The sequence below is a fragment of the Homo sapiens genome, chromosome 8, assembly GCF_000001405.40.
Source record: "Homo sapiens chromosome 8, GRCh38.p14 Primary Assembly".
NCBI classification, from domain to species: Eukaryota; Metazoa; Chordata; class Mammalia; order Primates; family Hominidae; genus Homo; species Homo sapiens.
The window spans coordinates 93,216,292-93,242,096 of record NC_000008.11 but is presented as its reverse complement, the minus strand read 5'-3'; the positions used below and the strand labels follow the sequence as shown (position 1 = coordinate 93,242,096).

General features: G+C 39.9%; 1 long non-coding RNA gene across 1 annotated transcript in view, besides 2 other annotated features; it reads right to left on the bottom strand.

Moving 5' to 3' along the window:
* Positions 1-16,178, bottom strand: part of LOC105375643 (uncharacterized) — a 40,499-nt gene extending 24,321 nt beyond the window's left edge. The window contains exon 1 of the long non-coding RNA XR_001746003.2: positions 15,488-16,178. This is a non-coding gene — a long non-coding RNA (uncharacterized LOC105375643). The remainder of the gene's footprint in view (positions 1-15,487) is intronic.
* Positions 1,285-1,786: an enhancer, noted in NCBI's record as "H3K4me1 hESC enhancer chr8:94252539-94253040 (GRCh37/hg19 assembly coordinates)". NCBI's record gives its function as "activates a minimal SCP1, AML or CMV promoter by ChIP-STARR-seq in primed H9 embryonic stem cells {active_cell/tissue: H9 hESC(primed)}" and the evidence as "EXISTENCE:reporter gene assay evidence [ECO:0000049][PMID:30033119]".
* Positions 23,776-24,460: an enhancer, noted in NCBI's record as "NANOG-H3K27ac hESC enhancer chr8:94229866-94230550 (GRCh37/hg19 assembly coordinates)". NCBI's record gives its function as "activates a minimal SCP1, AML or CMV promoter by ChIP-STARR-seq in naive H9 embryonic stem cells {active_cell/tissue: H9 hESC(naive)}" and the evidence as "EXISTENCE:reporter gene assay evidence [ECO:0000049][PMID:30033119]".

Sequence of the window (25,805 nt, the reverse complement as noted above, 5' to 3'; positions counted from 1 at the left end):
CCCAGGTGCAGCGCAGCCAAACAGCTGCTGTGGACCCAGGCATCTCTACAATCTTGGCTGCCCTGGAAGGCACCCCCAAGATCCTTGCAGGCTTGGAAGTTCCTGCTCCTGCTGCCAGGTTTCTCCCTGCTGTCAGCACCTGCTCCAATTTTGGAGCAAAGTTGGGGCCAAGCTCAAGCACTGTCACAGCCTGGCTGGGTGTGCACATGCTTGAGGCAGTGCTGACACGCCAGCCCCTTGCTGTCTTGGCCCCCTCTGGACTTCGGGCACTGACAAGCATAGGAGGGAAGCTGAGATGGGGCTGAGGACAGCTTGGTGCTGGTCTACAGGTGCCCCTCAGCACCTACAGCCTGGGCATCATGAGGAGGCAGACAGGTTCTTGGGCAGGAGAGGGCAGGTCCCTGGTGAGGCCTCATCTTCAGTTTGGGGTGGGCCTGAAGGCTGGGAGCCAGGCTGCCAGTCCTTTGGACTGGAGTGGGAACTTGTGGTGCCTTTTCCAGGCTCACCCATGGTTGCCTATTGACCAATTGGAGTGCATTTCTTCCCCTCTAAGGCCCATAAAAGCCTTGGGCTCAGCCAGAGCTGAGAAGATGTTGGGACAGCCAGCTGCAGAGAGGAGCAACTCACTCTAGGAACTCCTCTCTGCTGAGAGCTGCAAAGACAAGGGAGAGATGATTGGGAGATGATAGGATGACCTGCCTGCAGAGAGGAGCCACCCACTCTAGGGCTTCCTCTCTGCTGAGAGCTGCATAGATGACAGGATGGCCAGCTGCAGAGAGAAGCTATGTCTCTGCTAGGAGCTGAAAACTTGTCAGGACACCCTGGCTACAGAAAGGACCTGCACCCTGCAGCTTTCTTCTGAGCTGTTCTATTGCTAAATAAAGCTCCAGTTCATCTTGCTCACCCTCCACTTGTCTGCATACCTCATTCTTCCTGGCAGGACAAGAATTCACGATCCACCCATGGTGAGGCTAAAAGAGCTGTAACACAAACAGAGCTGAGACATGCGCCTTGCTTGCCATATTGTGGGTGAAGAGAAGGAAAGAAAAACTGTGGCCTTTCTGGGAGCCCAGACTTAGGAGCTCCTCAAGTCAGAGCTGTGACTCCCTCTTTTGGACTCTGGTGTCTTGGTGTTTTGTGCAGTTCCTGGTGTCTCCAAGCTTCTGGGCACCCACCGTGTTCCTTAGTGCCAGCTGTGAAAGCTGCTTGTGGTGTGCCTGGTCTGGCCACAGCCTTGCAGAGAGCCAGTACCTGTGCCGGCACCTGGAGCTGCCTGCCCCACTGCAGCAGCTGGCAAGTTTGACTGCACAGTGGCCGGATCCATGCTTGCTCACATACCCCTCATCATTCTATGCCTGACTCACCCTTGGCAGGCATGGGACCCAGCCGGTAGCATAAGCCAAGAGCAGCCTGCCAGGCCAAGTGGGCAAAATAAGCCCAGAGGGCCCAAGCAAAGCTCAGGCAAAGGCACCACTGGCCACAGAGGTTTCCAACCAGAAAAACAACACCCCCAAATATCCTGTAACAACATGACCATCTAGGTGCTTTCTCCTACCAGTTATTGGCTTGAAGTGCTGATAAATCACACTCTGTCCTACCTATGCTTCCTATAAATATACATAAATGATAATTTCCCCAAGCATAGTAAAACTCTGATCAATGTTATAAAGCAAAATGTAGTTATTGCTGCCTGGCATATAAGTAATGCATTTCAACACTCACTGTCCTCTTTAATAGTCCAGGTAGCATTTAGTCAATAAAGACTCAGTGTGTGTGTGTGTGTGTGTGTGTGTATACTTTTTCTTTCCTTTCTTTGTCAGACACGAGATTCTATTCTCTGCCCCACAGGGGGATGCTGTAGACCTCAAGAAGTTAGCCAAGTGAAACAAGGACATCCTGGGAGGTAAAATCAGTGTAAATCCCGCAGAGTGAGCTTCCCAAACTTCTGTGGGATTCAGACATTTCATGGAACATAGACACTTCCTGGTGGGAGATGAGAACATTATGTACAAATAACTCTGTTTGCTCAGGTTCTGCCTACTTCTATTTGCTTCTTTTGTGACAACATGATTTTTAAAATAGCATAAGGGCAAGGTGATGCTTCTACTTACGTAATATTGCCCCTGCTGGGAGGTGGGATGTGGAGCAGTGTCATGTGGGGCACACGTGCATGTAGAATAGTGCACTTGGGCAAAGAGCAGGGGTGTCTTCAGTCACCCTGCAATGCCAGGTTTGCAGCAGACTCCCTATGGGTGTCTTCCATTGTGACCTCAGCAATGTAGCCAAGGACTGCGATGTACTTGGGGTGAAAGTTGTGCCAAAAAATTTAGTTAGTTTTATTTATCTTGGTTGCTATGATCTGGGATTCACATAAGCCACTGAAAGGAAAAGCAGACTTATTTTAAGGATATGTGTGATGAGAATTGGAAGTGAAAGACCATCCAGGGCTTGGGGAGCTCTACGGGCCTGTTACTTGTGGCCAGCGTATTACTGGGTCTCACAGCACATTGATCATCAGTTTTGCCGCATGCCCAGCTCATTCTCCACCCATTGCTAATTGGATAGTTTCTCCATTTTCTGCAGGACTGAGAAGGCGAGTGCTCATCTGATTGGTCACATGAAAACCATCACCCATACGGTTGTCAGGTGCAAGGTTCCCTCTTTACCAAGCAAATAATTCACTATAGAGTTAGAGCTATTTTATTCAATGTCTTTGATCTGTCAAGGCTCTACTTACCCATAGGGAAAAGGAGTGCATAGCTTGTCCTTTTTTCCTTTCTGTGCTGAGTGGAGTGTCTCTCTCCCAGGATCTTCTGCCCCAAACTATGCTAATTTGTATTAATTTATTTTATAATATTTTATTGGCTTGAAGGGGATGTTTCTTTGATTTAATTTTTAAGAATTATATAACATCATGGGGTATTACAAAACTGTAAGACAAACATTTTATTTGAATTATTTTTTTTCCTGAACTCTGAAAAGTAGAATGAAACTCAAAATGAGCATGGAATGAAAATAGTCTGCTTACCTTGAAAACTAGGCTTTCCTCTTAGCTGGTGATAATTACCTGTGTTCACAGCCTTATTAATGTAACATCTGTATCCTTAAACATTATATTAATAGGAATTCTATTTACATTGTATCCTTTTCAACCAGTGAAGAGTTTTATAAGCACAGTTTCTATGTGTCTTTTACTGAATATTACTTTTAAATGTCATTGTTTTGATGGCATTTATTAGGCGTTATAAGGACCTACCTCTTCATCAAACTTCAGTAAATTTAAGTTTCAAATTTATTTAGATAAATAATACCTAGATAAATATGAAAATTATAATTTACATTAGTTCGGTCCATTGTGCTTTACAAAGCCATCTCAAGTACACTATGGTATCTGATCCTTAAACCAATCATTTGAAAGAGGTAGGATGAGAGTTTCTGAGTTTAAATCCAACTTCCATTAAATGTTGAAGTTGAGATGACAACTTGGATATCTAGTCTCTGATATTATTATTCTTTTCTAAGAGTCAATATTATTGAAAAACAGCATCTCAGAGGCAGGGAGTATAATAGTTTCTGGCTCAGTCTCAGCCAAGACCTCACCGTATAGGAGAAGTTTTATATACCAGACATTCTGAGGGGTTATCATGGGAATAATAGCTTGTGTTCCCATTACACATGTACAAGCTCATCATCTTTGGTCAAAATTGTAATCCCAGCATGAATTCCCCTCGAAGCTCTGGTTCATCTTTCTTTGGTCCCAGTGGTCAGTGTTCAAACATCAAATAATAAGAGTAAGCCAAATACAGTTAGGAAAAGAAATTTACTGTGAAGAAACGTAAAAACCTTTTGTCACGGAGGTCCTTTGCCAGAGGTTTGGCTTATATTGACAGGATTGATCATACTGTTGTTGGTTTCTACTCCTCTAAAAAGCCTGTAAAAATATATCTCACAGAATATCGATTTTCTCTATTCACGATAATTCATGCATAGGTTAGTAAAGACTCTCCTTTATGAAGAATATAACTAGGATGACTACCCCGTTAAAATATTTTTATTATTATTTTTTAAGAGATGAAGTCACACTATGTTGCCCAGGCTGGACTTGAACTCCTGGCCTTAGGGGATCCTGCCTCAGCCCCCTGAGTAGCTGGGACTATAGGCATATGCCACCACACCTGGCTTTACCCCCATAAAATTTCATACTCTTTCCATGATGAGATCTTCTTCACATCAGAGGGCATCAGGTTTAGACTGAACAGACAAAACCTAGTAGAGACATTTTTATCTCCCAGAAACACAACCCAATAAACCTTTAGTTTCCTGTGTTTGACTAGGAATAAGGTTAATCAGATGGAATCAAAATATGAATTTCCACATAATGAATTTTGACCTCTTGAACAATAAAAATTCATTGTAGCATGGTCAGGCAATACTTTGAAATGTTAACTAATGTATATTTAGTGCTCACCCTGGCTGCTTGGCTTATGAGTTTCAGAATCTTAAGTCTTAAGCAAACAGGGAGGATTTATGCACTTAAACATAAATCTGAGTGAATATATGATAGGAAAAAGCATAACTTGGCACACATATTTCCTCCTCAACTTCCAAGACTTGAAACCAATTATACTACACTGAGGAAGGAGAAGAACATAAAGGTGAAACAAAAAGTGAGTAGATAATGTGGATCCTTGAGACAGAAATTCTCTCACCCTGGTTCCTCCACCTCCTGAAAATAGCATTTTTAGGAAGATTAAATATAACAGCTGTCAGAGGGAAGATTTAGAGGGAAGCAAACTCAAAACTTACTTTCAGAAAGCACAGCAACCCTGGAAAAGCTTATAATCTAATATTAAAAAAATAGCAACCAATGCCACACAAATAAATGATTACTGGTTGAAAATAGTATTGGAATTTGTTGAGCTCACTAGCTGTACCAATTGTTGGTAGATTACATGGAGTAAATAATGCAATATTTGACAAGAATGATACCACTTGTTGTATTAATCTGGATATTACTCTCTTTTACTTTCAGGCCAGTGATTAGTTATGTACCCACAGACAAGTTACTAACCATTAGGGTTTAAAAAAAAATATATATATATATATATATATTCTTCAACTCCATAAGCAAAAAGTAAGAGAAGTAAGAGAATTTTGTCAGTTGCAGTTTTTGGATGTAAGCAGCAGAAAGCTAACTTAAAAAAAAGGCAATTTGTTAAGAGATGATGGAAAAGTTTTAGGATCAAAGCAGAGGCTGAAAATCAAGCAGAAAAGGGCAGGAGCCAGGCAGCTTCTAGGGGCTTAGGAACATCACTACACGAATTACTTGATGGTCTTCTCCAAGCACCATTGCAGGATTGAGTCACACGCAAACATGTTCATTCTCTGCCATTCAGCTTATGATTTATATTTCAGAAGTAGAAATTGGGTCACATGCCTGTTGCTTGGATAAGGAAAGAACAGGGTTCCTTCACTGGCAGGGGTACCACCAAGCTGTATTCAAAGGTGCAGTTTCCCTCAAAAGGAAACTGACGTCTAGTACCCAAAGGAGGAGGGAATTGGTTTTACAGGGCTAACCAATTACACATGTTCCCTGCAAATTGTATGGCATTTTGACATTTGTGAATATACAGCAGCAAATAATACAGAAGTATTATCATATTTACATAACAAATATAAGTATGCAATAGTTCCTTGTGTTTCTTTCTATGTTTTCTGGTTTGCAGCATCCATTTGCACAAAGGATGTTAGAATTCCTCTCAAGTTCCAATTGCCTTTTAGAAAATGGAACAACTTAACAGATCCTGAGATGCTAAGACTGGGTCTGAGCCAGAAATACTAAGTGCTGAACATTAACATTTGGCAAGCGACCATGAGGTCTCCTATAGGCAGCCATATATCTCTTCTTAAAAGAGAGAGTGTCCTTCCCAATCAGCTTGAAAAGCATCCCCAACACACTCATCATTTAATATGCTTTTGTAAATTTCTTCTTTCTAACTGAACATTCTTCTGTTGTAAGGAAAACTGCTGTCTCTTCATTCATCACTGAAATTATCACTAGGAACCCAAATATTTAGAATCTCTCAATCCTCACAATTCACAATTAAGTAAAACTTATGTCTAAAGTAAATATCTCTTATTTATTAAACTGCTTTCATGATCAAAGAATGGAAGATGGACATTTTTCATTACAGTCTACAATTTCTAGTTTGTAATAATGACATGCTGATGTAAGTCATGCTTAGCTCTCTAGTGGACTTTCTCCACCAATGTACTGGGCCTTTCAGTTGAACTAAAGACCGATCAGCTGCTTTCTATATAAATGCATTAATCACTCATTTATTCATATCATTTATTAGAAACCAATTATTATAGGATATTCAAAACTCACTTAGGGACCAATTCATTTAAAAATCAATTACACAGTTAGATTGTATAATGTACCAATTAGTCTAAATGATTTTCGGCTTTTGGAAACTATTAGTAATTTACAAAATATATCTCACTAAGCTAATAGAAATGATATATAAATAATTCAGCAACTTGTATGTTTATTCACATCACTTCTTGTAACAGCACTAGTTATAAATGTTGGAGATGGGGGTATGGAGAATGCTACAACTCATTACTTCCTATTTACCTCACTGCAAAGACTACTTGAGGGTAGGCAACAGAAATAGCACCTAAGATGGGCTCCAGCTCCTTCAGGTAATCTAATCTGGAGGTATAAAACCAGAGCAATTGATTCGAGGCCCAGGTTGAACATAGACACAACACATAAACACTTAGACAAACACTGAAATGCACACGTAATATACACACCCACACCCACTTACTGATACACAGAGATCATGAAAGTGCTCATCACATAAGGCCAAAAATGTTGACTCCCAATTATCTTTGAGTATGAGCAGGTTACATCAAGACTATGAAGCTATTTTTTGTTTTCTCTTTGTATCCATTTCACCATTATATTCTTCACTGCACCTAGCATTGTTCCTCCATACTAGTTGTTCAGTTGTGGGTTTTCAAATAAAAAAATCAATTAAAAAATCCACACAATTTAATAATGTCATTTTACAGTCATTACTGTACCTAATTATTTGCTCTTTAAAAGAACGAAGAATTCACTGTTTTATTCCATTTTGGCACCTTTCATTATTTGTTCTAGTGGAAATGTTAACGAGAATTTTATAATCTCAAAACAGATTCTGTTGCAGAAAAGCAGTCCAAAATCATCCACAAGCTGAGAAATCGGCTCCTGGACATTAGAGAGTAAGTCTTCTCCTGACGGAATACCCAAGGATCATATAATGTCCCACACCATGCTTTTTTCCCCCTCAGTAATGTAGAGTGAAACGTAAGTTACAGCTAATTTGTAAGAGAAAATAATACCAAATTTATTCATCCTATGATAAAAAAGGCATGTATATGGAAGACAAATTTCATGCTCAGAATCCATGACATCCCTAATATTGCTCACATATTCCTGTGAAATTCCTGGAATCTTGAATATTTTAACCACGTTAGAGAAGAAGCTACTGTCAGACATGGGCCTTGGCAGTAACTATCCTGACTCTTTGATTTGTCTTTAAATTTTCAGTACTGCAAAGAACTCCAGGGGAACATTTAAATTGATTGTTGGCAATCAGAAAATTGAAATACTAACAAAGTAATCTCTGCACATTACTACTTTTTCAAAGTAAAAACTTGGCTTGTTTCAAAATAAATCATTTTGTCAACCTTATAACCTAGATAGCAGCAAAACTTCATTTTGGAACAATAAAATTGAGTGAGGACGAAAACATCTTAAAAGCAAATGTTATATTCACATACTTCCATATTTAGAATCATTGTCATTCATCGCAAGCAATTGGATGGTCTTTTCTGAAATTCAGTCAACATTATTTTCCTACTTAGTTAGGTATTTGTTTTCAGGGTTTTAAGGATTTCTGGCCACTTCTGTTTTGTTATTTCTTACTTTTTTTCCTTTAAAATAAATAGCCAATAGAAATGACAATGTATTTCACATCTTCTGGTGATACTGTAGCTATAGTAGAGCCATCCATTCCCAAAGAGATTTGGCTGCTGTCTTAGAGTGTTCCTTCTAGAACCTGGTTTCATCAGATCAGAATCACTTTATTCTCAGTGGTATTGGTGTGGACTGATAACAGATAAAGAAGTTCAGAGGGCTCACATTATGATTAGGAAAATAACTCATCACGAGCAATATAGATTGACAAAATGGAGAACTTTGTAATGAAACCATGCCCTCGGTAATGCTAGCACCAAGTAGTTAGTCACCTTTCAGGTATTAAGTGAATAATTTACTCTTAAATTTTAAGAAATGTGGAAGGAAAGGAAGACACTTTCTGGTGAATTAAAGAAATATTGATTACCAGTGTCTACTTCCTTGTGCCTCTAAACATTTCTGTGATAGAAGCATTTGGTCTAGAATGTCTTTCCCATTATGAGAAGAACTTGTCCCTATGACTCTTGGAATGAAATTGCAATGTTCCTGTATTAGTCTGTTCTCACACTGCTATGAAGAAATATTTGAGAGTGGGTAATTTACAAAGAAAAGAGATTTAATTGACTAACAGTTCTGCATGGCTAGGGAGGCCTCAGGAAACTTACAATCATGGTGGAAGGCGCCTCTTCACAAGGCGGCAGTAGAGAGAATGAGTACCAGGAAATGTGGGACACTTATAAAACCATCAGATCTCATGAGAACTCACTCACTATCACAAGAACAGGCTAGGGGAAACTGCCCCCATGATTAAATTACCTCCCACTGCGTCCCTCCCATGACACATGGGGATTATGGGGATTACAATTCAAGATGAGATTTGTCAGGGGACACAGCCAACCCATATCAGTCCCTGTCCAGGGCATTGAATGTTGAGAGTAAAGTAGGATGGTCAGGGAAAATAGGAGGCGAGGGGCAAGAAGAGAGAAGAAAGGAAAATGAGTCCAAGTTCACCTTCTGTAGGAACTGCAGCCCCTGGAAATCAAGCAGTTACCCAACTCCATGTGAAAGAAGTATCAGAGCTCCCCAGATCTTGCCAGGGTGCCTAGGTGCCTGGGTGCTGGCTACAATCAGCTGGGCTAGGTCAGGGACTAACACTTTCTTCTAAACTTCAGCACAAATTTGATCAGATGGAGCATCAGAAATATGATTATCTGACTAATTCAAGTAAAGACAGAATTTTGATTGACCCACGAGTGAACAGACTGAGATCATCCACTCCTATAAACATTCATCCAAAGTTCTTTTTCAGTTCAGAACCCTGTGGTTTCCTGCAGAGAACTAATATCTGAGGGAAAATAGAGAAGATTCTGGGGATTTTGAATGAATACAGGAAACTAGAACTCCAATTCTTGTGTTTGCCTTGCAGAATCCATGAAGTTAATGTAATCAGTTATTGCAAGAAGAAGGGGGTTCAAATCATTGTTTTCTAAGTTCGTGTGTGTGTGATCAGGTTTATTTTAAGCAACAGGACTGATTTGCAGAAGAATGACAGAAATGTTCCTTTCTCCCTTGGTGGTTTACGGCTCAGACCTGTACTTCCTCAGTATATCAAAAGATGGGAGAATGTGTTCTGGCCTTGGGGTGGCCAGATTCAGTAAGTAAAAATACAGGATTCCCAGTTAAATTTGGATTTCAGATTTTTAAATGAATACTGTTTAATATAAGTATATTCCATGCAACATTTGGGACATACTTATATTGAAAAATTTGTTTATCTGAAATTCAAATTAGCCAGGTACCTATATTTCACCTGGTAGTGCTATCTGGCCTCTGCCTGGCCTTTGTTTCTGTGAGTGGCTTATTTGACAGACAATGTTTCCTGTACTATTTTTTCTATGTTTCTGGTCAGAGATCCAGTGCTTTTCAGGCTCCCACATTCACCAGAGCCATCATGGCTTCAGGGTTCTCCCAGACATAAACCATTTTGCTTCTGGTGACAAATCATAAAAGCCAAGATAATTGAAAATTCCAGTGAGAGACATAAAACAACTTATTGCACTGAGTATCTGATAAAACCTTATTGTTTACAATTTTATATTAGTGAAAAAAGAAAAAAGAAATGAGATAGTGTGTACCAAATCTTCCTTGTCAAACTTTGGCAACTGAGATCTGAAACCTTTGAATGTGAATCCCAACTCTGTCATCTACAAGCTGAGTAGAACCAAGTTATTGAACTTCTCTGAGCCTCAGTGTCTTCACTTTTACATTGGAGATAATGACAGATAATAATAGTAGCTACCCTAGGAGGAGGATTAAATGAAATAAGATATATAAAGTACTTAGCACAGTCATAGTAACAGCTCTTTCTATTACTACTTTTACTACTGCTACCTCTACAACTATTGCTGTCACTAACATTATGTGCAAGGCATTGTGGCAGACAATATAAAGCAATTGTTAAAAAGCTCACAGGCTGTTTTGGAAATAGACCAGCTCCTAAAGAAATAAAGAACAATACAAGCCAGCAGGTCCTAAGTGCCAAATGAGTGTCACAGATGGATAAACTACAGGAGCTCAGAGGAAGAAGGGACATTGGCCATATCCCTGGAAGCACATGAGGACAGAATGGTTTATGTCCTACCATGTTCCCCTGGGAACTTCCTTCTTAATAGACACCTCCAAATGCAGATAACTGATTACTTGCTACAGCTCTACCAGCTGCCTCTATTTCCTCCATATTACCTGCAATGCCCTAGGTCTCTTGACTAAGAAACACAAGTGTGCTCCCTAGAATCACCAATAACTTTCTCCAGGTTGAATTTGAAAGCTGCTATTTCTTTCTGTATCCTTCTGAAAACTTTTTTTGACCCTCTGTTGATCATGCATCCATTCCTTTCTTAGTATACTCTATGTATTTACCTGTTTGGCTCTCTTCTTTCTATTCTCTGCTTATGGATGCCAGCCAGTCCCTGGCCTTCTCTTTTTGCTCTTTTTTTTTTTTTTTTTTTTTTTTTTTTTTTTTGAGACAGAGTCTCATTCTATCACCCAAGCTGGAGTGCAATGGCACAATCTCGGGTCACTGCAACCTTGGCTTCTTGGGTTCAAATGATTCTCATGCCTCAGCCTCCTGAGTAGCTGGGATTACAGGTGCCTGCCACCACACCCAGCTAATTTTTTGTATTTTGAGTAGAGATGGGGTTTCGCCATGGTATGGCCAGGCTAGTCTCAAATTCTTGACCTCAGGTGATCCACCCTACTCGGCCTCCCAAATCTTTTTGCTCTTTTTTATTCCTCTGTACACTTTTTACTTTTTAGCTCATTTGTGCAAATGGTTCCTGTTGCTAATTTTATATGAATATTTTGTTCCCTCTAAACAACTTCTTTCCATTAATCACTAAAACAGTTGAAAGAGGAATATCCTGGTAATGTGCCACATTTATGAGAATATTAGTAAGCCTATAGTCTTATACCAACAACAAATTCATAAAATTGGAGTCAATATAGAATTAGCATTGTACTGAACCAGATTAAGGTTGACAGATGTCCACTCAACTAAATGAGTATTTCCAACTTAATTGAATCATTTGGTGTTTTCCTAGCTGACCATTGTGGTTCTTCCCCATGCTTTGCCTTAAAAGGTGTATTATTAGGATGTCACTTTAGTAAACATTGAGAAATGGTAAACTTTCTGTTTTTTTATTTTTTTGTTTTTTTTCCCAATGACATCCACTGATCTACTCTTGGCGTTTTGTGAAACAAGCATGCGCCAGGGACCACAACAGCAGAACGCTAGAGAAAAAGATAGTGTCAGAAGTGGTGGTGACTTGGGGAAAAAAAGTGGAGGGAGTTCTCTGTCTCTCTCTCTCTAACAGATTCATTTTATTTTCACCATGGGGCGCACCCTGTTGGTGAGTTCTCTGGGTCAGACCTCCGGTGGCTCCTAGGTCTCCGGGCTGGGCCTGAAGTTACTCGCTGCTCAGGGAGAGAATGGAGTTGGTTGCAGTCCCCTCACTCAGTGGGTCCGGCTGTGTCCCCTCACTCAGTGGGTCCGGCTGTGTCCCCTCACTCAGTGGGTCTGGCTGTGTCCCCTCACTCTGTTCCTCCGCCTGCGTCCCCTCACTCAGTGGGTCGGGCTGGGTCCCCTCATTCACTTGCTCTTCCAGCTAGGTCCCCTTACTCAGTTTTTCCTCTGGCTGGGTCCCCTCACTCGGTGGCTCCGGCCGCAGCTCATGCTGAGGGAGCTCCTGGTTCAGCGGGACACTGGGGCCGGATGGTGCTGGCCCGCTCCCTTCCTCAGGTGTTCTTACAGCCGCGGTCTTTTTTGGAGCACTTTTCTTCCTGGCTCTCCCTCGACGAGTTGCTTTTCCCTTCTTCGCTATTTTCGGACACTTCTTAGGGCTTCTGGGTCTTGGCTGAGAGGAGGACTTCCTCTTTCGCGTCCCCTTGGTGCTGGCTGGTGGCCCGGCGGTGGGCAGGCTCTCGGCTTTCCATCCGTCTTCAACAAGTCAACGTCTCCTAATGGTCCGGAGATTTCTAATCTATCAAAATAGAAGTCCTGAGACTTTTAAAAAATAAAATAACGTAGATAGCCTTAAGATTATTGTAGAAAAATGTTCCGCTAGTGGAGGGCAAACAAACTTTTCCAGAGCACCAATTGCATGCCTGGTTTCATTTTTCAAATATGACTAAAATGGAAGTCCTGCCCTTTATCCAAATTTTCATAGAGAACATCAGATTCGACTTTTGATCTCAGTAATACTGATAATATTAAACTAATATCTTAACGATATAGACTACTAATAATTAGACTATTTCCAGGTAATCAATTTTTCCATCTGAAAAAAAGGGAATGCTAACATTAGATGTCAGACTAATATTTAATGATGTAGTCTAATTATTACTAGACTAATAAATTAGCCTATGGAGCAAGAGATTTGCTGTTCTACAAAACTAACAAATCAATAGACTGGTTGGTTTAGGGAAACTACTCTTTAGAAAAAAATTTAAAATCCCGACATGAAAAAGGTGAAGTCTGTAGCTCTGCCTGGAGCCTAAAAAGAATTTGGACATTAAAGAACAATAAAGTAAAACCAACTATCAATCAATTGATTACTTGTCTTTTAGAAATGAGGATCTATTCAAAGATATAATCCATAAACCACTTTCCTCAGACATTTTCATCAGAAGAATATTTCATTTTTAATAGAAATAAAATTATCTACAATTCATATAAAGTTTTGTCATTTTCAAAGAGCTTCTTTTCACACATGATGAATGGGACAGGATCTACAGTAAAAACAATAACAACAACATGGCTGTTGGTTCAGGCTCTGCCATTTTCAAGGTAATCAATTCTTCCATCTGGAAAAAAAGGGAATGCTAATACTTCTCAGGATTGTTAAGATGATTTATTGAAGTCACCTAGTAAGTTTGTCCATTGGGATCCATATTTGCATAAGGAAATAAAACCTCAAATATCCAAATTATATAATTGTTATTATTACAATAAAGTATACTAATTTTGAAGCAAATATTAATGATTTTCTCTCATTTTTCTGTCCTTCAGAAATGCCTGTCAATGTATAGAAAGGATTTAGTTAATTAATTACATGTATGTGAGCATCTTGAACATAGCCAGCAACAAATACCTGCTAACCGGTTATAAATGACATTGATGAATATTCAGACAAAAATTTCAACAGGTAACTCTGAAGTTTCTATGTGCATAATGTAAAAGCAAAAAGCACATTTTAGCATTATATCTGGATTACATGTTTTCTAGTGGTAAGGTAGATTTTGTGCTGATTCATGTAACAACAGGCCTACCTGTCATTCAAGGCCAGCATCCATTATGATTGGTGGTTGACTTCCATGCCATAAGTGTTAGATATTTTACATTTCACCCTTCCCTTATAGTTACATAAAAATATTTTTAAAATTGTAAAAAATAATTGGTCAACACATACATGTGAACACACACCCATACATACATTTGCAAAACACAAACTCAACAAAATACAAGTATCTAGAATACATAAAAAACTCTAAAAACTTGCTAGTAAACAAACAAACAATCCAATTAGAAATAGGCAAAAGATATAAAGACACTTTTTTTTGAAGAGGACACACAGATGGCAAGTAAGCTTATGAAAATACGTTAAACATTATTAGCCATTAGGAAAATGCAAATTAAAATCACGATAAAATATCATTACACACCTATCAAGATGGCTAAAATAAAAACATAATGACAAAGCCAAATGCCAGTGAAGATGGTGAAACTGGATCACTCCTACATTGCTGGTGGAAATATAAAATGTAAAATGGTACATTCTGGAAAATAAGTCCGGCAGTTTCTTGAAAACATGCAACAACCATATGACCCAACAATTGCCCTCCTGGGCATTTATCCCAGATAAATAAAACTATATTCACTTTATGGGTAAATGGCCCTAAACTGGAACAATCCAGATGTCTTCAAGCAAGTGAATGAACAGGCAAACTATGGCACATCCGTACCATGGAAGACTACTCAGCAACCAAAAGGAACAAACCATTGATACACATGACAACCTGGATGAATCTCCAGAGAATTATGCTGAGTGAAACAACCAAAATATCCCAAAGGTTATATACCGTATGACTCTATTTAGATAACATTCTCAACAGGACACAATTGTAGAAATGAGAAACAAATTAGTGATGGTGTAGGGCTAAGAGTGGTGGGGGTGAGAGGAAAGGGGATGTGACTACAAGAGCAATGTGAGGAACACTTGCAGTGATGAAAATGTTCTGTATCTTGACTATATCAATGTCAATATCCTGGTTGTGATACTTTAGTTTTACAGGATCATACCACTGGGGGAAACTGGGTAAAGGATAGTGGTGGGGAAATGTTTCTCTATCCTTTCTTGCAACTGCATATGAAATAATTATCTCAAAATAAAAGTTTAATTTTAAAAAACGTTAAAATATATGGCATTGAAATATTAATCTAGGCTACTGAGATTTTGATGTCCTCTTAAATTTTATACCCGAGTACTCAAGGCGAGTGCCTATCTTGCCTTACCTTCGTTCCTGTCCTAGAAATCAGATTAAATGTAGAAGAAGTCAGAATGAATGGGGCTCGAAATGAATTGTCAGGAGTTTCCAAGGAGGATTCTGCAGGCTTATGGTGATAGAGGTGATAGAATGCTTTAACATATTTTGGGAAATAAGAAAGGTAGATAGTAGGGAGACTAGAAACCCCAAGAGGTTCAGGAGAAGTTTAAGAGACAGAGCTTGGGAACAGAATCTTCCTCACAGCACTTGTAGGGAAGCACAAAGAGAAGGGATATTATGCAAATATGGATATTTAGAGGAATAAAACAAAGCAAGATTTTTGTTGTTGTTCCCCTTCCATCACTCCCTTCCCCCTGCTGTGAATCTTGCCAAGAGGAATCTTAGAATGCTAATGTCTCGGTATTTGACACAGCGAGTGATAATTGCACAGTGGCCGATTGATTTCTGACTCACCCCTTTGCAGATCAGCCCTGCAACTTTGCATTCATTCCAAGCCTCAAGGAGTAGAGCACAGCAGCAGCAGGGCCCACCTTCACCCGTCCGTCAGATAATAAAGTTTAGTCATGCAGCTTAAAATAAAATAAGCAAGAAGCAGATGGTGAAAAGGACAGAATGTAGTGTATTTAATCTGTCCATGTTTGCGAGGAAGCAATTGTCTTCTTAGCTTCAGAAAACAGAGCAAGACAAACAATAAAGCTTCTCTTTCCTGGACACATATGACATTGTTGATAGAGATGATCTGGAGTTTGGGGTAATTTGACCCTCCTCTTGCTGAATTCTCTTTCTTGGAACCAGGAAACTGAGCTGGACTGCTTCTTCTGGTAGGCAATCAACGATAGGAGGAGGTTAGCAGCAGTCTGCTCAGTAAACAACTCCGAACACAATGATCATACCCAAATGAAACCAATATTGGACAAAATGAACCTCCCAAGGCCTGGGGTGGTCATCTGTAATAAAAGAGCTGTCAGAGCAAATAGGCTAGTGTTAAATAGTTCAGTGTAAACTGTTAGGCAGCCGCCCCTATGAAAACACAAGGTGGTGAGTAGTGTCATGGAGCGTTTATTCCAATTTGGCTTGTTTAGAATAGCTGCAATGCTGGAGAAAGACGACAGAAAAAATGACTTTGCCTCCTCTGAGACGGCTCTCTGACACTGAAATCTGGAAGGCTGGCTTGAGCCCTTTGCCTGGAATTTATTCTTATTCCAGTTCAGATGGTGCCTGAGTATTTTTTAATGATGTGTCAATTAAAGCCCATTGCTGACTGCCAGAGTGGAAGGATCGGGTAGAAATCTGTGTGTGAGACGAGGTAGAGCCGGGTGGCTAAAGAAGGAGAATCCGCAAGGAAATAGGCAAAGAGTTAGGAAAGCAAATGAAAATGAGGTTCAGCCTGGTTGTTGTTGGTTTTTTTTCTTTTTTTTGAGACGGAATCTCGCTCTGTCGGCCCGGGCTGGAGTGCAGTGGCGCAATCTCGGCTCACTGCAAGCTGCGCCTCCCGGGTTCGTGCCATTTTCCTGCCTCAGCCTCCCGAGTAGCTGGAACTACAGGCGCCCGCTACCACTACCACGCCCGGCTAATTTTTTTTTGTAATTTTAGTAGAGACGGGGTTTCACGTGTTAGCCAGGATCGTCTCGGTCTCCTGACCTCAGATGATCCGCCCGCCTCCGCCTCCCAAAGTGTTGGGACTACAGGCGTGAGCCATGGCGCCCGGCCTGTTGTTTTTCATTAAGTTTAATCGCAAACTGGGGAAAACATTCATAAAATCTACATCTTTGTTTTCAAAAGAACACATTCAAATAGAAGAAACTTGGAGGTGGTCAAGAAGAGAACAGCCCTAGCAGGCCCAGCCCTGACTCCCTTGCCATTGTTCCATATCCTTGGGGAGTGTGAATTCCAAAACACAGGGGAGGGGTATGCTAGTGGACTACCGTCTGGTGAAAGCCAATTCCCTTATCTACATACACTGGACTTTATGCTCTGTCTTATAGTACAATGAGTCAGAAACTGAGTGAGGAAGACGAAAAATGAGCCTCCCCTTCCCATGCTATAGCTGTTCTCGACCCCTGTGAGTCTTCACCCAGTACAGTACACCTCACACTTCCCTTCCTTCTCTGAGTTTCTGACCTACAGGGAATGTAGCACACATCTCAACATTTAGCTTTCTCATGTTTTCATTTTCATTTACTTGTTTGTTCATCCACCTGGCCAGCTGGTTTTGAGTGCTGGGGTTAACACAGTAAGCAAAATAGCCACATGGAGTCATATAGTTCCTGAGTCTCTCATAGAACTTCCTGTTAAGCCAGGTAGCAGACAATACCCAAACTACCTTAAAAACAAGGCCCCTCCCTGCATCTCATGATTTCTCAGAGATAATGGGGTATGTTTAAGTGGTTCCATTGGAAAATAAGTGATCTGAGGAGTTCGCTGAACTCATTCCCTATAATGGTTCCTAAATTACACTTCTTTTATAAAAATACAGACATCAGGCTTATAACTTTGATGATTTCCTAACAGCAAAATATGAGACTTTTAAAAATGGGATTATTCTAAACTATAGTTGTGTCGTGGGCAATAAAACATGAAATCGCCCATGCCGTAACAAAATTAGATATTAGAACCTGTCCTTGACTGTGGTTCTAACCATATGGACAGAGAAAATGGAGGAAGCGGGTCAGCAGGGGGAGAGGAATGAATCAGACACTCACAGGGTCACAGAAGCCAGGGATGGTGGCCAACTTTCTCTGTTGGCCTGCGCTGAGGGGTTTTCCAGGACCCTGCACTTTTAGTGCTAATGCCAGGAATGAGCGAGTTAGCCACCGTACCAGGGGCTGAGTTAGCCACCTTACCAGGAGTTCCTGGACCCCAGCTTTGTTCCTGTACTTGACTCTGTGAGAAATTTCCCTTTTTGCTTATGCTTATCTGATCTGGGTTTCTGTCACTTACTTGCAAACCGGAGTCCTAACAAATGGTTAAGTAGCATTTTCCACTTTGTAAAGAATTTTTGAGTCTCATGACAACTTTTTGAGACAAAGTAGATGACATCCCCATTTTGAAGAGAGGAAAATTGGCTTGAAATCCCAGGCACATTTACCAGCTCATATGGCTAAGTAGGTCAGGTAGCAAAGCTGGGCCCCCTGTCTCCTATCATGAGAGCTTTGTACTTCTGGAAAGCTCCCTCTCAGTGGGTGGGGGGCGGGTATCTTGCAGGAATAGATTCTGTACTGCCTGGGTATCCATCAGTCACAACTTGCACTTTTAAAGACACTTGCTCTTATATACCCCCTCTTCTCTACTTAAGTTTGCGTGCTGCATATACTTCCTCCACCCTACATTGTTTAAAACTCTGCCATTGTAGCACCTTTTCCTATCCATGGTCTTCTTGCCGCTTCACTGAGTGAAAAGGTGGGAAAGTAAGAGTAACCAGAACTCAGAGATGACCTCCCTTACGGGCTTTACGAACACGTAATTTAATCCTCAAGGAAATTGTATGATATAGGTTTTACTCTTTCCTTTTATAGATAAAGAATTTGAATCCCAGAGATGACTAAGTGGCTTTTCCAAGGTTACTCAGCCATTATGCAGTGAAACTGAGATTCCAATTCAGAGTGTCTGACTCCAGAGCCCATTCATTATTTTGCCTATATATAATGCAAACTTCTAGGTAGGCACATCCCTCTATTTTGGAGCACATAATTTATTTCACTGGGAGAACAAAGGTGAGTCTGTGCAAACTCTCAGGACAGAGAAAGCCCGGTGATAATGTCGGGCGACTCTGGGTGCCGAGTTTTAGGGCTGTCCTATGCAGCATAATTCTAGAGCTGCTAGAACAGGGTAGGCCCTAAGATAAAGTATAGCTTCTTTTCACAATTCATTTATACTCACTCTGGAATTTTTTCCTTCAAGCATTTGGAAGGCCCTCATGTTACCAGAAAGGGGTCCCAATCCAGACCCCAAGAGAGGGTTCTTGGATGACATGCAAGGAAGAATTCAGGGTGAGTCCACAGAGTAAAGTGAAAGCAAGATTATTAAGAAAGTAAAGGAATAATGGCCAGGTGCAGTGGCTCATGTCTGTATTCTCAGTACTTTAGGATGCCGAGGTGGATAGATCACTTGAGGTTAGGAGTTCGAGACCAGCGTGGCCAACATGGTAAAACCCTATGTCTACTAAAAATACAAAAATTAGCCAGGCATAGTGACAGTCCTCTGTAATTTCAGCTACTCAGGAGGTTGAAGCAGGAGAATCACTAGAACCTGGGAGGCAGAGGTTGCAGCAAGCCGATATCACGCCACTACACTCCAGCCTGGGCAACAGAGCAAGACTCTGTATTAAAAAAAAAAAAAAAAAAAGAGAAAGTAAGGAAATAAAAGAATGGCTACTCCATAGACAGAGCAGCCCTAGGGCTGCTGATTGGCTAGTTTTATGGTTTATTTATTGACCATATTCTGCCAATAATTCAAGAGGTGGATTATTCATGAGTTTTCTGGGAAAAGGGTGGGGATTTCCTGAAACTGAAGGTTTCTCTTCCTTTAGACCACATAAGGTAACTTCTGGACATTGTCATGGCATTTGTAACCTGCCTTTGCACTGGTGGGAGTGTCTTTTAGCATGCTAACGCATTATAACGGGCAGTGAGGACAACCAGAGGTCACTTTCATCACCATCTTGCATTTGATGGGTTTGGTTGGCTTCTTTATTGCATCCTGTTTTATCAGCAGATTTTTTGTGATCTGTATCTTGTGACCTCCTATCCCCTCTTTTGACTAAGAATGCCTAACCTCCTGGGAATGCAGTGCAGCAGGTCCCATCCTCCTTTTATCCAGCTCCTATTCAAGATGAAGAGATGAAGTTGCTCTGGTTTGACCACCTGTGACATGCAGGATGAGTGTTCCTCCAAAGGAAATAAAACATTTCAAGGAGAAGAAAGTGAAATAGGCATAATCTTCTGTTTAATGTCTAGTATTATATTTACTACCAGATGTTTATTATAAAATTATAATTATTGAAAATAATATAATTTTAAATGTATTTAAAATATATGTGAATAAAACAAATTATAAAAAGTCATCCTAAAAACACTTACCCAAAAACACCTCCCCAAACTCACCACTGTAAAGATGTTGCGGTTCATTCTTCCAGGTTAAATACATACACTCCCCCTGAAAACAGCATCATATAAAAATGGTTTTAGAACCAGTTTGTTTTCCTTTTAACAATAAGTTGTGAATATCTGTACATGTCAATGAACAATTATATTTTTAATAGCATAGAGAATTAATCTCTACCCAGACAGATGCTGGTAGTTACGTTTTATATCCATTCTTTCCTCTTCCCCTTCCCCCATCACCAAAATCCAGGCCCATCCATGAGTAAAGCAGCGTCTGATGAGCTGAAGTATTTAGTAAGCTAATGTTCACTGTCCCCAGCAGGAGGCCTGCACAGCTTGGCTGATGAGAAATGAACTGCCTGAAGCGATCTTTTAATGGCAACTAATTTCCCATATTTGATTCTCAGCTTAGCCAACTAATATATAGTTCAAGCGTGACAAGGCATTCACAGTTCCTTTTGAACGTTCTCTATCTGAGAAGCCAAACAATATGTTCAGGGCCATCATGACCTTCCAAGATCTTGTCCTGTCTACTCCAGAGCAGACTTTGATCTGCCAGGGTCAGTGATCTTTTAAGAAAAAGTTTATGTCTTTATATTGAGCTCTTCTTTTTGATTCTAACTATTTTCAGATAAGTTAGCGCTGAAAATTACTGAGCAACAAAGTTTGTAAATGTCAACTAAGACTCTTCAGAGAAACCATAGAGCTATTTGCATTTTCTTTAGGTTCCTGTAAACTGTTTCGTATCAATTGGTCTTTTTCATTCTTAATGCTTTTAAGGTATCTAATAGGTATTAAGCTCCTCTGTCCTTGCCTTAAACAAATCCTATTACTCTGTGATTCTATCCCATTACACAGTGATTATTGAACAGAGCTCAACTTAATTGGATATGATCATGTCCTGCTATGTAGAATTATCCAGGAAAATTAGTATTTTCAGTTGTCTCCAATAGCCCTATTTGTGGCTGTATTTTACACTTATTTTTTTTTTCTAAATCTACAAATAAGTTCTTTTATATTTTTTTGAAAGTAGCTCTAAAATTTCTTGTTAACAGCTACAGCATGGCTAGATTCAAGGGAGACAATATTCAAGGGTTACTTGATCTTAAGTTTTATAGGCAGAGAGGTAGGTGCAGGGTAGCTTAATGAATATTAGTGCCCTGGTCTTATACATAGGGCTGTGTGTGTGTGTGTGTGTGTGTGTGTGTGTCTGAAGGTTTTAGTATCATCAGAGAAAATTGCCGCATCCTACTTTCCACCTCCCACCTCTGTTTCACATACCTAGTTTTGGAAGCCAGAATTCCAATTATTTATATTTTGGACTAGATTGCCATTTTTCAATTCTGAGACAATCTCACCACTTTTTTTACACCTGAGTAAGAATGGCAATCTCAAACAGTACTATAAATCACTTGCCAAAACCTAGCCTAATGTAGGCAGCATTGCAAGCCTCAAAGAAAAAACCAGTCAGCAGAGGCCGTCACGGGGCACGATAGGTCTCGGGTCCTCACCCTAGATGGACTAAAGCATAAATGTGTTCCTGTCCTTGAGATGATCCTGAACTGTTCATTTCAGGGAAGAAACCGTCACACAAAACCAGACTCAGTGGTTCATTTCAGCTCTTTAGGAAGAAGTGAGATCCTTGTTGCCTTAGAGAGAGGCCATTCCAGATACTCCTCTGTCTCAATAGTCTCTTAAATTGTGCATAAAACAGTTTACCTAGTTTCAGACTCACTGATATTGGTTCATCAGCAGAGTAGTTGTCTAGCATGGAAACTCTTGCTTTTCTATAAAACCTAAAACGTTTTGATAATTTTGCGGGAATATCCTTAACCTTGATGTGGTTCAAGACCACATCACACAGTGGTTATGGCAGTAGGCTCTGGTGCCAGACTGGTCTGGCTTTGAACCTCAGCTCTGCCACATGTTCTTGCTATGACATTGGACAAGTAAGGTGGCCTTTAGAAGTCTCAGTTCTTCAATCAGTGAAATAAGAAAAACAATAACAACCATCTCCTAAGGCTGTCGTGAAGAATAAATTACATAAACCATGATCTTAGAGCAGTGCTTGAAACATAATAAATTATTATTCACTATTATTGTTTCTATATTAATTTTATTATTATTATTTTATCCATGCTTTCAAAGCCCAGTCAAGTTAGGCATGAGTTTTAGGATACAGGATTTTAGATACCTAGTTAGGTCACAAACTCTGATTCATTAACATTCCATCTCAATTAGATGAGAGTCTCATCTCTAATAGTCATCAACAATTAGGTTGCAGGCACCAAAAGCCTTAGACAAGCTCTGCCTTTCTGTTTCTTTCTTTGTTTTGTTTTGGTTTGGTTTTAGGATGGATTCTAATAAGAGTAATTATTTCAGTCTTAGATCCTTGTGCTTTTTTACCTTATCGATGATGACCAGGAATAGGCAAAGAAATGGCTAAAAAAGTGTCAAAGATGCTATGGAAAAGGAGGATTGGCATTATATATTTTTAAAGGGTAGGAGTAAAGAACTGTGGACAGTAGCTGACATTCACAGTCATAGTATGGAGTTGTTACTTGATAAACTGTTTTTTCCTTGCTACATTGTTCAACATGGTAGCCATAAGCCTCATGTGGCTCTTTAAAGTTAAATTAAATTCATTAAAATTGAATAAAATTAAAAATTCAGTTCCTGAGTCCTCCTTACCATTAGCTACACTTCAAGTGTTAAACAGCCACATGTGGCTAATGGCTAACATATTGCACAGTACAGATTATGGGATATTTCCATCATTATAGAAAGTTCTACTGGCCCACTTGACTTTCTAGGGTGCAGGGAGAAAATGGCCAGCTTCTGGGTAGGTTGAGGCTTACGTGCAGATCCTTTCCACCGTCCTACAGTATTCACACTGCCGAGGCTAAAGTGCTCTGAAAACATGCTTACTTTTCAAATGTACAAGATGTATCCAGTTTTGACCCCACCCGTGGACTCTGACATAGCCTGAAGGGACTTTTTTAGGTCTGGAAAAAGGTAGGAAAACTGTGGTTGAGCCTGACCCTGTCTGTCAAGGATGACTTCAATCTAGTTGGATCACCTGTCACCTGGTAGTGAGAGGGGTGGGGTCCAGATTTTCAGCCCTGCCAAGTGAAGGAGATGACGAGATGCTGAGCAGACCAACACTAACAGATGTTTCCTAGGGTTCACCTGGACCTGGCGTAGGCATCAATAAGACTTAATGTTGACACTTCTAATGCAGGATGCAATGAGTAATAACCAGCTCAAGTTTCCATATAAACAAAATTATTCTCTCCATTTTGAAGAACCATGGTTTGGCATTTTTAGGTGACTTGCCTAAGCTTGGCTATCTGGAATTGACATAGTAGCTACATGCGATTTTAAGCCAAGTTTTCTGATTAGAAATTCTGAGACACCCCCCATAAACTTATCTATGTTGTAGTTTTAACAATAAATATAAAATAACAAGTATCTTTGGTAGGGTGGTCAGAGTTTATTTTCATCTTGGGCTAATGATCTTTCATTCATCAGCATGAGCATCCCATTCACACATGGACCCATGATTCCAATAAAAATGTCACAAATGTAATATGACTATAATTATTTTGTTTTTCAAACTAGGATATCATGGATGCAAAGCCAAAAAAAAGTACATTTGTCCTATTATCTCTCACAAGCTCACCTGGCATATGCCAATCAGGTAATTGCTTGTGCAAACGGATCATTAGGTGCACAATTACCTCATTTGAAACACAAATTCAGGGCTGAGTAGAAGCATTCCCTGCATGTGCAATTTTGTGAGTGTACTAATCATTACAGCCAATATGGAAAAATTAGCCCTTCAATTCTTTTTGCACCTATGGCTTTCTGCTTCCTTCGCTGATGGTATTCATTAAAATCAAACAAACGTGATGTGTTTTTCTGGACATAAACAATTAGTCACTTTCCGTCATCGCTACTTGAGTAAACATGTACATAAAACCCTGTTGTGTATGCAAACTTCACCTCATTCAATCTAAGCAGGGTAGTTCTCCTTTTACCACAGGCTTCAGCTGACATTCTAGTTCATAACTGTTTGCATGAAAATGATGAAGCCTGTATTTTATTTTATATTTTTTTCTCTCCAAATACATTTGGCAAAATCTTCCAAGCTGTCTCCTTTATGGCAGAATATTGTCCCTGGCCCATTTATATGCTAATTGCTGAAGTGTTACCTTTTACTGACAAGTATTTACATGTTAATTAACTTTGGGAGGATGGTTAGAAATACTAGTTTGCCCTGTTTAAAGTGATAAAGGGGATGCTCTTTCCTTTCAAGACGAGAACAAAGACAGTATCATAAAAGGAAATTATTTAATTACCTCCTTCTAAGAATTAGAAATATGTTTTCCAGCCTTTCTCTCTGTAGAGGAATTCTCCAGATTGTGACCTGAGGCACAAAAGGAGCAGGGAGTGAACATTCTTCCTTTTAATCTGAGTTCCAGGTGAACACATCTGGTGCATGGAATCTAGGTCAGTAATAGTGAAGGAGGAAAAAGAAAAAGAAAAAGAAAATGAAAAGCAAGCTTGGAAATTGTATATATTTAATTTAAAATACATGAGCATGAATTGATTCCATGAAAACCAATACAAATGAATTAAACATACTCTCTTGACCTCTGATTTTATTATACTGTTGTGTGTCCTGGCAATCACTGAAGGGAAGGGAGTAGGAGAGTTAGGATGTGATAGAAAGATGATGTGGTGGAAATACTGAAGATCTGACAGGAAGAAATGATCAAAGTAGGAGTCAATAACATTAAAACAACTAAAATGAAGAGTACTTTGAACTTAATGAGCAAAAGAAGCATAGTGAAGTATGGCCCATCAAATAGGAGCAACAAGTAGAAAGACACAGTTATAAACCAAAAATAAAAATTCTAGGTCCCGGAACCAACTAAATGAATGCCTCTTCTCAGCCAAGGGCATTCCAAAATAAACCTGAAACACTAGTTCAGGCTACAATGGGAATGGGTGGTCTAACATGACCCATTATACCTTTGTGCCTTTGGAATTCAGCTGACCAGCATTAACATTAAAATAGAGAGAACTTAAGACTAACAAAGCAGATTCTTCAAACCCATAAAATGCCAAAATGACAGCTAGTAGGCCCTGAAAGAAATCAAAGTACTTTACTCCCAAAATATATTTATTTGACATATTTTGAAATGGCCCTGCAAAGCTGTCTCTTGTGTGGAAAATCTCTTTCCCTTGACATGTCTTTTTCCTGATCCAGGAGAGAATTAACTAAGAATCAGGCACCTTTTATAAGTCTGATAAGAAATATTTACAATCTATTCTCTCTGCAGCCTGTTACCTGGAGGCTTTATCTGCATAATAAGAACCTTGGTCTCCACAATATCTTATCTTAACCCAGACACTTCCTTCCTTAGATAAACTCTTTCAACCACTGGCCAATCAGAAAAATCTTTGAATCTTTGAATCCACCTATGACATGGAAGCCCCTCCCACCTCTCCTATAAAAGCAAGCTGTAGCCCCACCACCTCGGGCACATGCTCTCAGGATCTCCTGGGGCTGTGTCATGGGCCATGGTCACTCATATATGCCTCAGAATATATCTCTTCAATTATATTTCAGAATTTGACTCTTTTTGTCCACACAGGAAAGT